The 18,574-nt window shown below is 34.0% G+C and overlaps 1 annotated feature.

Annotated features, from left to right (window-relative positions):
* Positions 392-892: an enhancer, noted in NCBI's record as "H3K4me1 hESC enhancer chr5:99099024-99099524 (GRCh37/hg19 assembly coordinates)". NCBI's record gives its function as "activates a minimal SCP1, AML or CMV promoter by ChIP-STARR-seq in naive H9 embryonic stem cells {active_cell/tissue: H9 hESC(naive)}" and the evidence as "EXISTENCE:reporter gene assay evidence [ECO:0000049][PMID:30033119]".

Raw genomic sequence — 18,574 nt, forward strand, 5'->3', positions numbered from 1 at the left:
GGATTTATCTAGCTTTGGTCTTTGTTGTTGGTGACCTTCAGATGGAATTTCTGCATGGTCATCCTTTTTGTTGATGTTGATGCTATTGCTTTTTGTTTGTTAATTTTCCTTCTGACAGGCCCTTCTTCTGCAGGTCTGCTGGAGTTTGCTGGGGATCCACTCCAGACCCTGTTTTCCTGGGTATCACCAGCAGAGGGTGCAGAACAGCAAAGATTGCTGCCTGCTCCTTCCCCTGGAAGCTTTGTCCCAGAGGGGAACCCGCCAGATGCCAGCCAGAGCTCTCCTACATGAGGTGTCCTTCGACCCCTGCTGGGACGTGTCTCCTCATCAGGATGCATGAAGGTCAGGGACCCACATGAGGAGGCAGTCTGTCCCTTAGCAGAGTTCCAGTGTGCTGCTGGGAGATCTGCTGCTCTTTTCAGAATTGCCAGGCAGGAATGTTTAAGTCTGCTGAAGCTGCGCCCCTATCTGCCTCTTCCCCCAGGTGCTCTGTCCCAGTGAGATGGGAGTTTTTTCTATGAGTCCCTGACAGGGGCTGCTGCCTTTCTTTCAGAGATGGCCTGCCCAGGGAGGAGGAATCTAGAGAGGCAGTTTGGCTACAGCGGCTTTGTGGTGCTGCAGTGGGCTCCACCCAGTCTGAATATCCTGATGACTTTGTTTACATTGTGAGGGGAAAACTGCCTACTCAAGCCCCAGTAATGGCTGACACCCCTCCCCCCACCAAGCTAGAGTGTCCCAGGCCGACTTCAGACTGCCATGTGGGCAGCGAGAATTTCAAGCCAGTGGATCTGAGTTCGCTGGGCTCCGTGGGGGTGGGATCCGCTGAGCAAGACCACTCGGTTCCCTGACTTCAGCCCTTTTTCCAGGGGAGTGAACGGTCTGTCTTGCTGGAGTCCCAGGCACAACTGTGGTGCAAAAAAACCCTCCTGCAGCTAGCTAAGTGTCTGCCCAAATGGCTGCTCACTTTTGTGCTTGAAACCCAGGGCCCTTGTGGTGTGGCACCGGAGGGAATCTCCTGGTCTGTGGGTTGCAAAGACCAGGAAAAGAGTAGTATCTGGGCTGGATAGCACTGTCCCTCATGGCTTCCCTTGGCTAGGGGAGTTCCCTGACCCCTTGTGCTTCCCCGGTGAGGTGATGCCCCACCCTGCTTCTCTCTCCTTCCACAGGCTGTACCCACTGCCTAACCAGTCCCAATGAGATGAACTGGGTACGTCAGTTGGAAATGCAGAAATCACCCACCCTCTGCACTGGTCTCACTGGGAGCTGCAGACCAGAGCTGTTTCTATACGTCCATCTTGTCCAGGAATCCAGAGGTTCATTTTTTACAATTCTTAAAATGTATCACTTCAAATAGTGTCTCTTCTCCATTTTATATGGTATCATTTTCTATAACTTAAACATATTTAAGTCGGCTTACTGCATTGGCATTGTTTATGTCTCTCTAGCATGGTTGAAATATTTTTGTCTCTCTGACATTCAAGAAAACAATCCTACTGTTGATTTATTATCTATTCATCTATATATAGTCTGCTGTTTACACCATTCATTGAATTTCAAATTCATATTCCCTCCAATGTTTATTTGATGACATTAAGTATTTTTACTTTATATCCTATAATTGTAAAACATAGTATTTGTAGAGCTGTTGGTTTTGTGAAATTCATTTTCTTCTACTGATTTTTGCTTATGTTGGTTTATTTCCATGTAAGGGTGTGTGTGTGTGTGAGAGAGAGAGAGGGAGAGAGATAGAGAGAAGAGATGCATTAAAAATATATAGGAGTATAATAAGGCTTGATGTGAAAGTTATTATAGATAATTTGCACATTTTTTCATTAATATTTACAGGGAGAAGATTTAGACTAAGTCCTTGACTTAGCGGGGTTTGGGGGCTATATCCGATCACACAGGTATTAAAAATTCTAGACAAGTGCCCATTTGCAGGCTGGCTTGTGATTGCAGATTTTGAGGAAATTCCAATGGCCCCCACACACATTTTCTTACCTTGCTTTTTTTTTTTTTTTTTTTTTTTTTTTTTTGTAGAGAATGTTCTGGTTTATGTACTTCTAGAGTGAGTCTTTTGGGAGTGCCATATTTATGCAGGTTCTATTGGTTCTGATTTCCCCATTTTTATTGGACCGCAGGCTTGTCCCCTCTTCCTTAGGTCCTGTAAAAAAGGGAAAATCTAGGCAAATGGGATTTAATACATGTCCCCTGGTCATCTGCCAGCCATGCTTGTACAATTTCTTAGTCACTTTTATATGATTTTTGGCCTCTGAATATTTATCGTTTTGTTATTGTTGTTGTTCAGGGTAACTAAATGGCATACTGCCAAAAACTGACAGCTCCATTTTGATATTGCGTTTATATTCTGCTAGAGTGCTAGAAGACAAGTTCAGCTAAAATCAGTGAAGAAAACCTTATAGCTATTATAGCAGCTGATTTAATATTTATGTTCACTAACTTAACAGTTGAAATTCTTTTTGTCCTCCATCCCTGCTTTTTACAGTATTTGTTAAAGAATTTATTTTTATTTTATTTTTTCACATCCAAAGATAAAACACATGTAAGAATAATTATTCTGAGAGTAGATTAATATTTAAATATAGTGGCTAAAGATCTCTCAAATTATATTTTTATAATACACAGGAACTCCTTACTTATAAGTAAACTCCACTCCACTAAATATGGGAACTTAATAGTCATCTATAAATAGTCTCCTTGGAAATTGTGATTGGCTCAGAGGTAATCATTCAGTGAGAATAATCCATGATACTTTGACAATGTGTACAATGTGTAATTCAAATTATTTAAATATGTTTTAATGCAGAATTACAGAATTATTCAAGCTTAAAAAACACCATTATGCAATTTTTTCTATAAAAACATATGCTTTTTCAATCTTTCTTTCTCTTTTTTCTTTCTTTCTTTCTTCTTTCTTTCTTTCTTTCCTTCTTTCTTTCTCTCTCTCTTTCTTTCTCCTTTCTATTTTGCTTTTCAGTAAAGGTCAGACAGAAGTCCTTAGAATATTTCTAGATATACTTAACCTAAATTTCCCATATACCTAAGAACTTTTTCATCACCCTTCCCCCCAAATTACTGATCAACTTAATGCTGTTTATTTTTGTTCTTTTTTATTGCAAAATCAAGAAATTATGACAATTTCAAATAATAGAATTTGAGGCACCATAAAAATAAATACTACAATTATCTTCAGAAATATTTATTGATAATTCTATATTAGGTATATAACCATTTTAAGAATGAGAAGATTTGAGGTTCCAAGAAAATAAGCCATATTCCTACTGTTGTACTAAAGTAGCTAGAAAAAATAGAAAAAAAATCAGCCCTTTCTGGCTGATTCATCTGGAAGGTATGCTTCACAAAATTCAGTAATGGCAGATATATACAAATTAATTGTAAAGCAATAATCAGTACTGCTAAATTGAAAATGTTATTCCTTTTCTGTGTACTACATTGTCTTCTTTATCACCAATTAGAACCTGATAGAGAAATCAGCATCAAAGTAAAGGGGGGAATAAAAAGCATCGTATTGTCTTCTAAGACAATTTTTCTTTAAGCCATAACTTTATCAAAGATATAATTTACTTTCATTATAAAATAGTCATTTTTATTTTAAAAATCTTTTAAGTCCATTTTGGCATATTTTTAGGAATTTTTATGAATTATACAATATTACTTCCAAAATAGTTTTGAATTTTAGGCATGATATTATTTTTAATTATTTAATATATCTTATGTAAGAACTCCCTTAAAGAATAATAAAAACTTAAATAAAAAAATTTGCATAACCTTAGGCAAATAATTTATTCTCTTTGAGTCTCAATCTTTTCATTTGTAAAACAGTAATACATCTAATTGAAAAATGCCTAATAACATTTCTAAAACTAATTATCTTTATTTTTAAGATGCCTGAATTCCTGTCTTTTGGAATTTTAATTATTAGTGTTGTATGTGGAAAAAAAACAAGATAAATAATATTAAGTCAATAAGTAATTTTTGGGGGAAAAGTCACTAGAAAGACCTTAGTGATGTAAGAAATGTACGTGAAATATTTTCTGAAAAATTATAAGAATCATACAGAACAGGAAGCGTCTATATAGCGCTTACTATAATCATTGAAATTTAAGCATGATGGAATCATAAACTTCAATTTCCACTTTATTTACTTAAAGTTTCTTTCCTTAGATCATTTGAAAAAGAAACATTTTAGAAATAAATAGACAGAGCTATGACTATAGTCATTTACTTTTTGTTGATCACATAATGTACAGCTTTTTGAACCATTTTCTGAAATTGCAAAAATAGAAGCAGTTTTCCATTACGTGCTTGTCAAGATGGGTTTCTGCTATACAATCTTGCATAATTTCATCCAACAAACAGATGAGAAAAATTTTAATCTTTGGTGCTTTACAAAACACTTCTCAAAGAAGAAACTATGCCTTCATTTACGGAATGAAATGGCTAATTTAATTACATGAGACTTTCCTTTTTTTCGTTTTCTATTTTTAACTTACACATTAACATAAAGCCTCCTGAAATTATGGCCTATTTTTTTACAATTCTCATGCAAACTCTTGTTTATGTAAGCTTATATACATAACTTGTGAGTGAATGGCCAGGAAGTTTAATATCGATATGGTTGCTTCATATTTTAATATTGTGGCCCATTTTTACAGCACTAGATTATTGTATTGCTCAACATAGGCACCTAGGCACAAGTGACAATAGCTCACATTTAAACTAAATCTGACATTAGATGAGGAAAATAAGTAGCATAACCTCCAAATTAATATCTGATAGCAATTTCATAATCTTCTTAAAATCCATCTAACTAGTAATCAATATATTTACCATGACAAACAAATATACTCATTATTGGTTGCTCTTTTCATAATACTGACCCTTGATGAATCAGATCTTAATCTTTTTATATAACAGAAGGATGTGAACTTGGAAAAGTCAGGCCAAAATTCCTGTAAACTGATGTAGAAGCAGAAGACATTTCAACAGTGATATAGATTCTAGATTAGAATTAATTGAAAAGAGGGTGAGACTAGTTAAGCTTTTATATTCCTGAGAGAGATGGAAAGAAAATCCAATAATGACAAGGCACAAAATAAAAAATCTCTCTTTCTCTTTAATTTTGCTGAATCTTTAAAATCAGGCATATCCAGTTTTAGAAATGTATGTATGTCATCCAGTTTAAAACCTCCCGGACACTTGAGTATGATTGTCTTGATATTTGTGAAGATATCTGATGGATTGAACTTTCTCATTGTTGGTATAATTGATGTTGTTTAGGTGTTACGGTTTATGTCCTCTGTTGAGGAAAATACTTCTGAATTAAACCATGATTCTTCAGCCTGCTTCATCATTACAAAAAACTGACAAATATTTTCAGAGTAGTTAAAGTCCGGAATCCTTGTAACTGGAGATCTAAACATAACTATATCTCCATGTGTATAAATGCTCTGATCCATATCTATATCCATATTTATAACCGCATCTATTTAGTGAACAGAATGGACTCTCAGTATGACAATCTAGGTCATGAACTTGCTTGACATCCCTCCTCAGCCTGTCACTCTGAATTAGCAATTTTGTAACATTCTTCTTACCATATGACAAGGTAATAAAAAGCAGTGCTCATATGATTAAGTTTTGAACTCTAGATCCAGACTTCTTGAATTTGAAGTCTTCATCTGCCATTTATAATCTTAAACCCTCAGTATTTCATTATCCTCATCAGAGCTAATGATAGTGTTTATCCCCACAGTGTTGTGATGAGAGTGAAATGAATAAGCCCCTTAACTAAAAATGAGCCTATGGTAACTGACATATGTATACACACATAACAATATATGTATATATACACACATAACTGTAACCACAGGCCAATATTCCTGATGAACATACATGCAAAAATTCTCAAGAGAATACTAGCTAACTGAATTGACAAAAGGGACCTGATTAAACTGAAGAGCTTCTGCACAGCAAAAGGAACTGTCAACAGAGTAAACAGACAACCAACAGAATGGGAGAAAATATTTGCAAACTGTGTATCCAATAAAGGTCTACTATCCATAATTTAGAAGTAACTTAACAAGTTAACAAGCAAAAACAAACAACCCTATTAAGAAGTGGGCAAAGGACATGAATAGACACTTCTCAAAGGAAAACATACACACAGCCAACAAACCTATGAAAAAAATGCTCTTCACTAATTGAGACAGGAGGCAGTTAGGGGCTGTTTAGGCAGGTAGAAAGGGAGGGTCTTGGGAGAAGGACAGAGAAGGGCAATGTTCACAGGAACAATCGCAGAATAGCGCCTACACTGCCTCTACAGCTAACAGGAAGAAATGTGGTGAAGAATGTCCTCTTGTGCCAGGAGGTTGTTCAGAAGGGACTGTCCCAACTTAGGCGCAGGTGCAATAAATCAACCTAAATATCCTTAACTTGACCCAGATTATTATGTCATTAACATTACGTTAGCATCATGGTTTTAGTCACCTGTGGGTTTTGCTTAGGCACTCATGGGTAATAACCAAAATGGAGTCACTCTGGGCAACCCCAGTCACGCGCAGATGCAACACTCCTAGGAGGGAACTTTATCCCCTACCATTTGGGCAAACCCACGGAAGACTTCCTGGCTTCTGCCACATAAAAGACACAGAATTCAGAATTCAATACTGTTTCTGGCAACCTGCTTTCAGGCCCTCTCTCTTTGCTGAGAGCATTCCTTTTGCTTAATAAATCCTACTCTAATCACTTTCTGGTGTCCACGTGCCTACTTCTTTGGGGTCATGGTAAAAGAATTTGGACCTAGCTGAATGAGCGACTAAGCAGACTATCAGACGGTAACATAATGATTACAGAAATGCAAATCAAAACCACAATGAGGTACCATCTCACACCCATCAGAATGGCTACTATTGAAAAGTTGAAAAACAGATGTTGGTGAGGTTGTGCAAAAAGGAATACTTATGCACTGCTGTAGGAATGTAAATTAGTTCAGCCACCATGGAAAGCATCGTGGCAATTTCTCAAAGAGCTTAAAACAGAATTACCATTTAAGCCAGCAATCTCCTTATTGGGTATATACCCAAAAGAATATAAACCATTCTACTATAAAAACACGTGCATGTTTGCTCATTGCAGCACTATTTACAATACAAAGACATGGGATCAACCCAAATGCCCGTCAATGGTAGACTGGATGAATAAAATATGGTACATATACACCCTGGAATACTACCCAGGCATAGAAAGCAATAAGATGGAGCTGGAGGCTATTATCCTAAGCGAACTAATGCAGGGACAGAAAACCAAATAGCACATGTCCTCACTTATAAGTGGGAGCTAAACATTAAGCACTTATGGACACAGGTTTACTTGGTGGTGGAGAATGGAAGGAGAGGATCAAAAAACTTACAGATGAAATAATATGTAACACCAAGCCCCTATAACTTGAAATTTACCTCTATAACAAACATGTATATGCACCCCTGAACCTGAAATAAAACTTTAAAAATTAATTATTAAATAAATAAAACATACCACCCATCAGGTCTTCCTTGGAAATAGTAGCTGTTCTTGTGTTTTAATCCCTAAGGGAAATATCTAGCATCTATGTTTGTTGTAACTGATTTGTTCTTTCATTTATTCATACACCTAAGAGACATTACTTTGTAAGAAGTATGACATGATGTGTGTTATATCCATTTCTTTATAATTTATTAAATGTTAAAAAAAAACAGTAGTACATTCCAAACACTTACTATGCTTGGAGGGGAAAGAAAAAAAGGAAAACTTTGATATGATGAATTTCTGACACTTACATTTGATATTAAGAAAAGTACACAACAATCAAAAGGTAAGTCAAAAAACATTAAATTTTGAGATTTAAATATAGTTTCCCCTAATAAAATTTTATAAATTACACTTTCTCTAAGTCTAATATTTCAGCCAATTTTTAAAAAACTAGTGCAATGTTGTATTAGCAATTATTCACCAGTAGTTAACTTTTGCATTACTGCTTAAGTAATTATGTCCTAATGATCACATAGTGTTGACAAATTATTTATTTCCACTTTTTGCTTTTGTTTTCTTTTTCTGGACTGAAAAAGCCATGTAAAGTACCAAAATATTGACTATGATAGTCATGTACATCAATAAGTGTTTCTTCAACTTGAAAAATAATAAGTAAAAAATGAATTACCTGAGAATACTTGAATTCACACTCTGGAATAAAAATAGTGTTGGTTTACTATTATACATCTAAATTCCAAGTAGAAAAATAGATATAAAACCTAATAATGGTCTTTAGAGTTTTTATAATAACTTTGAATCATTTTTTCCAAATGACTCATTAAATTCCTTGGCCAAATGCACATCTAAGAAAAAAATCCTTTGTTTTTCTGCTAATGTCTGCTAAGTTTTGATCTTGTTTTCTTATATTTATGTATGCGATGTTGTTTTTATCACACATAAGTCTAATTGTAATCTCTGTCTCAACATGCACAACTGTTCCAAGCAAGAATGTTTCTTCAGTCTACCACCTCATGTGGTGACTCATGATCAAGTTCCTAAAATTTTTAACATTAGTGATTCATTTAGGTTTGTGACATTTATCAAACAATTTCTTTTATCTTATATAAAATCAATGCCATCAAAATTTTAGAATGCTCCTAATTCATTAAGTACACACTCATCAATCATCTCCTATGCAACAGATATTGCCAGTCTGTGGTGTAACAATCAACATTAAAGTCCCTGCTTTCAAAGAGTTAATTATCTAGTCAGCTATCAGGATGTTCTCGCCTATGGGCTGTTCAGCCAGTAACAGATGAAGATAGACAAGACAGAAACAGAGCGTGACAGATGAAAGGTTAGTAGGGGTGAAGTTAGGATCTCCTGGAAAAAAAGAATGTGTGAATGCATGAACACATGAAATTTACTGATGCTTTAAAGAAACTGAAGTTAGTTCAGCACTACCAAAGTGAAGCTTATATGTAAGTGTGTTTCAAGAAGTATTGGAGAGGTGATTCATAAAAGTTTTGTCTAGATTGTCCTGGACATAAGAGAAAAATAAGGTAGATGGTTGCCTCTGCTAGTGGAATCATTTTAAAAGTATTGTATTAAACAGAGACTAGCCACATATATAGACAGTAAGCAACTAAACAAGCAAATATATAAGCACATTTCATGAAACCTGCCGTGAAGGAAATAGGTTCCTCTAACAGAGGGTAGTAGACTGGAGGAAGAATTGAAGGATCACAAGGATATTATTCAAAGAATTGAGCCTGGCGTTGTGGAAATGGGGAAACTGTCATAGAGAACAAGTAAAAATGCTTTCAGGTGGAGTGGTGGACATAATTTAAGAACTGCTAGAATGTTGCTAGAGTTGCAGGATGACAAGTGACTAGGAGAGTGGCATAGGTTGGAATTTTATATGTTAATATAATTGAGAAAGTTTTTTGAATGTACTCACAAATGGAAAAATAACTTGGTTACTTTTATTTAAAGATAACTAAGTAACATATTTATCATTTATGTAAGAATAGATATATTTATCATTCAACTTTGTCTTACTAAGTATATATTTTCACATCTCTAATTTATATAATTGTTATCCTTAGAAGCTATTCACAGTAAGCCTAAAATATGTCCTGCTTCTATAAATATATCATACTGAATTAGTTTATTTACAGTAGTGACCTGGTAATAGCAACAGATAGGACATTTCTTATTCATTAATTGGTTTATAATTCTTGTATGCTATGTTTATTTCTCCATGTTTTTCTGACTTAAGCAGACGTTAAAGTTTATGATATAAGCAACTAAAACAAAACAAAAACAGAACTTAAAGTACTGGAGCTAGAAAATGGATAAGAACCATTTTTTTGTGATCATGTTGAAAAAAGTCCTTGTCTTTTGGGGATACAGACTGAAATACTTAAAAATGAAATGATAATTATGTTTAAGAGCTTTTTAAGATTATTAGCAGGTCAGGACTGGCCTTGATTCGATAACTTTTGTAACTGAATGATGTGGTTTCATTATTCCACTAAGTCTACATAATATATGCATTTGAAATTCCCCAAAATTAAACTCCTTATTGTACCCCTGGTGTTTAAAAAAAAACAGTATAAAAGAGAAAATAATTGATCATTTTATTGGAAAAAACAGTTGACTAATGAAGCATTGATAAGGTGAACCACAGCTGATAAGTCAGGAGCTGGCCTTAAACTGCAAATATATCCTTAGTGTAGAGCCAGGGAGATTATATGACAAATAAAATTTACTTACTTTCTATAAAAATTTTATAATTTGTTTAGCTGTAGAAAAACAAAGCATAAGTCCAAGTGTCCCTAGTGTTGTTGTGTTTTTTTTAATAATGACTTGAGTAAAATCACTAGTTACCAAGAAACCAAGTATATGGGAGATATTCTCACATCTTCATAGCACTTGTTACATTGCTCTATATTTGTACAGTTCTGAGGTTTGAGATAGCGTTTAATTAGGCTTTTCAGAGGTCAGCTATGTATTCAGACTCCCTGCTGCTCTTATCATGTAAGAATTTCACAATTGTAAATAAACAATACTATTAAAATAATATAAAGGCAAGAAATAGTAGTCAACCTACACAAACCAACTCTAAAAATAAATATGTTAAATTGTTTCAGAGTAAAATTTCTGTTCTAGCCTGTCAACAACTAAAAGCTAGTGTATTTTAATTCTATAAATACTCTTTTATTTTGAAAGCCTACTGACAGTCTTCAGTGATATCTGCACACAGAAATAGCATGTGGTGTTGCTAGGTATCATTAAATGAACAGACCTAGAAATAATATTTATCTTGAGTAAAAATCAACACTTTCACTTTTCCTTCTTTAACTTTTTAATGCATGACTCCAGTCTGACTTTGATAACAGGTCTTGATAATGTATAAACAACTTTAAAACTTTTAAAATTCAGTATGTATATTGTTATTAAATTGTCACCTTAATACAAAATGTATTATTCACATCCCTTTTTGTATTAGCAAAAGTATAAGCCTTTAATTAATTTTCAGAAGTACATATGTCTTTAAAATAAGACTAAAGAGGCCATTGTTATTGAAAAGAAAATTTAGGATAAATTATTTTTGTTTGCAGTAAGTACAAAATTCTGAGCTCTGCTTTTGTTGGTAGGGTAAAATTCCTCAAAATAAATATAAACAAGAAGAAAACCCACCTGATTTCTAGAGAAAAAAACAAGAGAATAAAAAATACAAGGTGTTTAGCGTAGTAGGAAATTGCTACAGGCAGATTCTGTCACAAATTCTCGTAGGTTAACATGGCTCAAATTGCTTGTGCTTTTCCAGCAAGACAGCACCATAAAATCTTCAACAGATAATTCCAAGGTCTGGCAGCATCACAGTCAATTTTAAAACTACCTTTATAAAATCACCGTCTTTACTCATGGTAAAGAATCATGTACTATCTAACTCTTATGGACTTATCAAATAATTAAAAATCTTGTTAACTGTTAAAAGAGAAAATACAAATTGTTCAGTGTAAGGGAAGACACTCCCACACCCTCCCTTTTCTAAAAGCATTTATATTAAGAAAAGTTGTAATTATAAGTTATCCCTGTCTCTGAAATGTATGTGACCTTTTTTAGAGCTAAATAAGCCTCATGTCAGAATTATGATTTCTGAAATGTCTTGCTCAAAGACTTAAGAATTCTCTCCTTGATATGCAATCACCTAGAAAGATAGTACCCCTATCTCACAGTGTCCACGGTAGGGCTGGAGCCTAACTTCTGTGGATGCCTCCCTCTGGGCATCCACATGGAATATGGATATGAAAGAGTTGCAAAACTATTTTTTTGTCATGAAGATATGAGTAGTTTATTTTACCTTTGGATAAAGCCAATTGGTTAACTAAGCTGGTCACCTCAGTTATGAAGTGACTTTAGGCTAAACACTGCATGAAAAATGTGCTGTCAATCCTCTTATCTTGAGAATATGTGTGTAATTTGTTGTTATCTGCTTGGATGTATAGAAAGGTAAAATTTTTGTCTTTGCATTCTCTTAGAGGATTGCCTGTGATGTATATCACATTCTAGTTTAACGTTCATTCAGTAATAAAATTGTTTTTCTTCTATTTTTCTGGAGGAGTTTTTTGCGTTGGGAGATTTTCTTGTTAATTATATTTCACCAACATTAAATATTTCTTTTTAGCATTGTCTATATAGTTAGTTTTCTACAGTATATCTCTCATCCATGCTGCATTTTGAAGTCTTTTGTGCTAATATGTTTTCTATAATCCACATCTAATTGTCTTTCAGATACTAGGGATAATGGTTCTTAATTATCTGGGCACACAGTTAAAGCAGAGGTGTGAAGAGTACAAATCACTGCCTAAGGCAGTGCCGGGAGGCCATACTGTTGCCTCCATCTCTAGTCCCTAGCACTTCTGAAGTTTCAGCCACAGCTAGCTCCTGAGGTGCTCCAGCCACGTCATCTCAGGGACTACTTATTCCAAGTGCAGAAAATCACAGGGCGTTAATTCTACTCCTTTTTTTCTCCTTGCTTTTTATTACCTATTTCTAATTTATTGTTTCTTATGTATAGTATTCTTTGTTTATTAAACTTACTCTATATGATTCTGGGGAGCAACATAGAATATAGATAAATAAGAAATAAATACAATGCTCTGGGCTGAGGATTTGGTCCAAAATAAATATCAGTTCAGCTGTACACATTTCAAATTTTCTAATGAGTTTCCTAACTGATAGATTATGTATTAAACAATTATTCAGTGAAACCATCTTGTTGTTCTAGTTGCTTCATTGCAAAAGATAAATGGCCAAATTAGGTATTGAAATTGTAAGATAGATTATGTATAAAATATATACTATAAGACTGTTCATAGAGTATTTCCTACAGGTTAAATTACATTCAGTATATATTTTGCCTCTTCCTTTAATATTTATTTAATTTCTCAAGTCCTCTGCCTTGTAAATGTGCACATGATCTAACTGTATTAAAATGTGGATACCTGAAATTGAAATTTCAAGAGTTTGGGTATTTTTTTTCCAGAAACTTACATCCTAAAATTATGATCTCTTTTACTCTTATTTTTTTATGCTAATATGTAATAGTATTTAATTTGCTTGTACTATATGCCATGAACTGTTATATTTGCTTTCCATGATTTTAATTTAATTTTCACAATAATCCTATGAAATAGTTACCAACATTATGTTCAATTTTGCAGTAGCAGAACCTGACATATGTCACTGTAAGATACTCAATAAGGTAACACAAACAAAAGGTGGCAGGGCCAGGATTTACACCAAGACTACTCAACACGAGCTTCTGTAACCCGTGCTTTAAAGCACCTAGGGACTTTAGAATAATTGCCAAATAAGCTCTAAGATGTGGAAGTAATAAATATGCATTATTTAGAGTTTAATTTATTATAAAATTGTTAATTATATGTACTATCAACTACATTAGTTAGGCTTAGCATAACATATGAGTCATAAAACTTTTATTATAAGGTTAGTTACTGATATGTTTATACATTCTCTAGATCTAAAAATGGAGATAAATATATTAATAGAATATTTGCCCAAATAATAAGCAATATTATAAATAACATAAATTTTCTACTTACTGCAGCAAGTAATACACTGGCTTTTAAAGAAATGGTCCTTGAAGTGCAATACATGGATCTACCAGGGTTAAGGGGATTGCAAGGTCAAAATCATTTTTATAAAAATTCAACGCTCCATTTATTTTTTCATATTATGTTGACATTGCACTGTTTGTGCAAAACAATAGCTGGTAAAACTGTTGGGGTCTTAGCACTAATAATGGCAGTGGCACCACACTGTATTAGTGGTCATTGTATTTTTTACTGCCATGCATGTTACTTAATGTGATAATATTCGGTATTTATTTTTCCTGATATTTCTTAATTTCTGTAAATTTTTAGATTAGAGTTTTATCTTCTTTTCCTCCTCCAAATCTGCTACTTTACTGGGAGGCAAGGTAAATGGTTTAAAATTGGAATAGTAAGAGTCTCATTATCAGTAAAAATTATTGCCCTATATGTTACTCAGTTTCAAAATTTTGATTATTGCAACTATCAACTTCATGGGATATTCACTTTTTTGTTTTGTTTTGTTTTGTTTTTGTTTTTGCTTTGTTTTGAGACAGGATTTCACTCTCTTGTCCAGGCTAGAGTGCAGTTGTGTGTCCAGCCTCACGCGACATTCTTGAGACTGCTTTCTTGAAGTTTGTAGTAGTTTCTGTTTTGCATTTCCAACCTTAAAATATTTATTACAATACTCGAGAGTTATATAGATGCTGCTAAGAGCGTTTTATACATTCTATTTTTTCCATTTTTGTTTTTATTTAATAATATTTATGAAAAGGTGCCATGTACTTTGTTGGTAGTAGGTAATTTTTAGAAGTTGCGATATGTAACAAGTCTTGACATATTACGACAATTCTAAACAGAGATAAACAGTAGCTGGCAAGAGAGTTTCGTTAATTTTTTGTTTGCATGTACTTTTTAAATATTTTAAGTCTTCTAAAACAGTTGCTAATTACTTTTTGGAGGAGTATGGCATTTATATTTCATAAATTATAAAATATTCCTATGTGGGGCAGATGAATTATGTAGCATATCTTTCTCATTTACTGTAGGCCTTCATTGGCCAACTCCATAACCTGAATCTACTGCTTTGTAGCACATGGATATTTAATGTTTCATGTCTATTGCCCAAACTCCACTCTCATACTTTTCCTTCTCACTATAAGCATATGGAAAAGATCTACAATAGCTTTGATGTATAGGCATATAAATATTGGTTTATACATATTGTAATCATATTCAGCTTGTTTAATCCATGAGATGATTTGTTAATGACAAAAATGAGCTATTATATAAATATTCATTTAACAACTTTTTCAGATAAAATTATAAATTTTTGAAGACAACTTTTTAAATAAAAAGATATATTTAATAATAGCACACTATCATTTGCATTGTAAGAAACTACATTGTATTATAAATCAGATTTCCTAATGACAACATTTTGGGGATACAGTAACATGAAATAAGAGCTTTAAATGTTAATCTTAACAAAAAAATTTCCAAAATGTTATTAAACTTATGGTTTTAATTCGGGGTATGTGTAGGCATTTGCCCTTCTTTCTGACCACGGTTTCAGTTCAATGAATTATTTCTTAATGAAAAAGTATGCAAAATAAAATGTATAGGATAATGAATATATAGAACAGATGGTCTTGCCCGTCTTTTTTTATTTTATATCTTTAAATGGCTTCATGCACTATCAACCCATTTAAAGCACAGAGAGGGGTAACCATTAAACAGTTTTCCATTCTTCTTCACTAATGATACTTAAAGACACTTAATAACATTTGCTAATTGTGTAATGCCTATCCTCCAAAAATAATGTATCAGTAGGGAGTATTTCTGCTTCATTCCTTTTATTTCCAGACAGCATCTAATGAACTGGAATGATCATAATTGGCAGAGTATAATGCATTGGAAAACATTTAAAGAACTAGGAAAGTTCTTTAAATGTCAAAAAATTTACCTTCTCCCTTGGCAAATTAAGCAAGTCAACAGAATTTTTATTAAAATTGAAATAGTTAAAACTTTATGTAAATCTTGCTTTTACCACATTGTACAAAGAATAATAGTCTTACCAAGATGACAACATTTTGCATTATAGTATCATATAACAACTTGTGTTATTTCTAGTGAACACAGTAATATTTTACTAGACAGAATAACATTCATTATTTTTAAATTTTACATCATCAAAAATCTTGAACTTGAATTTTAAATTTCCTTTCATGAAGTGTCCACTAATAAAAGCAAATAAAATATCTGAGGACATGGAATTGCCTTAAAGTAATCAAAATAATAAATATAACATCGATTATAAATTATTACACAGCTGACATTTTTTCTCTTCCAGTTAAAAAGTAGAAAGCAAAATTTTTACAAAACAAACATGAAGTAACAAAGCTTTGTGATACACATTTTAAATCTCTTGTCAAAATGTGCTCAAGTGTATCTCATTTTCATATAAGAATTAATTTAGTGATAATTTATACTAATAAATAATTATAATGTTTCTTGGTGAAAAGTAAATCTCTTGACAAAATTACAACTTTGTTTTTGAACCTTATTTTGTCAAGTGTTAAAGCACAAGTGACCTTTGCAAGGGAAAACAACAATATCCTTCTTATCTTATTAAGATGCTCCTTGGCCGGGTGCGGTAGCTCACGCCTGTAATCCCAGCACTTCGGGTGGGATCACAAGGTCAGGAGATGGAGACCATCCTGGCTAACATGGTGAAACCCCGTCTCTACTAAAAATACAAAAAATTAGGGGCGTGGTGGCAGGTGACTGTAGTCCCAGCTAATCGGGAGGCTAAGGCAGGAAAATGGCGTGAACCCCCGAGGTGGAGCTTGCAGTGAGCCGAGATAGCGCCACCGCACTCCAGCCTGGGCGACAGAGTGAGACTCCGTCTCAAAAAAAAAAAAAAAAAAAAAAAAATGATCCTCATTAGAAAATTCATTTTTCAGCATTTTTTATGTAGAGCTATTAGTAATCATTAATCTAGCACCTCCTTCCATAATGCTATTTTGTGATTACAGTTTATGAGACAGAGTCTATACAGTTTATGAGACAGAGTCTTGCTCTGTCGCCAAGGCTGGGGTGCAGTGGCATGATCTTGGCTCACTGCAACCTCCACCTCCCAGGTTCAAACTATGTGCCTCAGTCTCCCAAGTAGCTGGGACTACAGGCATGTGCTACCATGCTGGCTAATGTGGTTTTGTTTTTTTTGTTTTGTTTTGTTTTTTGGTGTTTTGTTTTGTTTTTTGTTTGTTTTGTATTTTTAGTAGGGGCTTCGCCATGTTGGGCAGGCTCATAATGCACTATTAAAGGAATAGGTAGCACCTTGCTTGTTCAAGGACAACAGAAGACTCCCTCCCCCAATAGGCTAAGATGGAGTCTTATGGAATGTAGCTGAATCAAGGACTTGACTATCCCATCACTTCTACCGTATTTATAGGCTTCTAGAAGCAAATGACAGGTAATGTCTAAACTTGAGGGAATATTATGGAATGCTGCGACTCATTGGGATTCACTTCAGTTGTGTCCTCTACATAGAGTAAGGGATATATTTTCTATGTACATAGAAATCTTTGATTATTTGATGTGACTTATTTCCTACGTGTACCACTGATAAGTAAAGACTTATCTTGTACACCATTCGTGTGATCACAGATTATGAAAATTTTCTTTTCTTCTGATTCAGATAATGATCAGTTTCCTTATAAGTTAAATGCTACTCAATGAGCACTCATAATAGAGGAAAACAAATTTTGTTTTTTCCACAATATTTAAAAGAGATACACAAAACGTAAACGGTAATTCATGTAAAAACGCTTTTAGAGTAGTCCCCCTTATCCGTAGGGGATACACACCAAGACCCTTAATGGATGCCTGAAACTGTGGCTAAACAGTACTGAACTCTATGTATACTGTATTTCTTTGATCCGATAACCAAGATGGCTTCCAAGTAAGCAACAGTTCTACAGTGTGCATATGGTAGATAAAGGAATGATTCACATCCACTGCAGGCTAGAGCAGGAAAAAGTGAGATTTCATTATGCTACTTACAACGGTGTGCAATTTAAAACTTATGAATTAATTATTTTTTGAAATTTCCATTTAATATTTCCAGACTTTTATTGATCTCAGATAACTGAAATCATGGGAAGTAAAACTCAGGAAAAGGGGGGACTGCCATATAAGATTTTTAATAATATTGCTTAAATTTTGTCATAGAAGGTGTCAAGAAAAATTATGTCCTTAAATATAGTTTTTTAAAATTATTATTATTATTATTTTGAGATGGAGTCTCACTCTGTTGCCCAGGCTGGAGTGCAGTGGCGCAATCTCGGTTCACTGCAAGCTCCGCCTCTCCGGTTCACACCATTCTCCTGCCTCAGCCTCCCGAGAAGCTGGGACTACGGGTGCCCACCACCATGCCTGGCTAATTTTTTTTGTATTTTTAGTAGAGACGGGGTTTCACTGTGTTAGCCAGGATGGTCTCGATTTCCTGACCTCGTGATCCACCCGCCTCGGCCTCCGAAAAGTGCTGGGATTACAGGCGTGAGCCACCGCACCCAACCTGAAAATTATTAATTAAATAAATTTGAATTTACTTTAAATGAGTAAATATTTCTTTTTAAATGAAAATTTGAAAATAAATTTAATCTTCTCTAAGCAAATTAAAGAAGAATCTCCCTTTACCTTTATATTTTAAAGTCATAATTTGCTGGAATTTAGTTTTATTGCAAGATGCCCTCCAATGAATTTTCAACATACTAGCGGTTTTTGTATGCAATCCTATATTGATCTCAAATTAGTAATGGTTGCTTGAAATGATGTAATGCATATTAATTCATAAACACATAGATGGTAGTTCTCTAAGAAATTGGAATAAC

This window comes from Homo sapiens, chromosome 5, assembly GCF_000001405.40.
Source record: "Homo sapiens chromosome 5, GRCh38.p14 Primary Assembly".
Classification (NCBI taxonomy): Eukaryota; Metazoa; Chordata; class Mammalia; order Primates; family Hominidae; genus Homo; species Homo sapiens.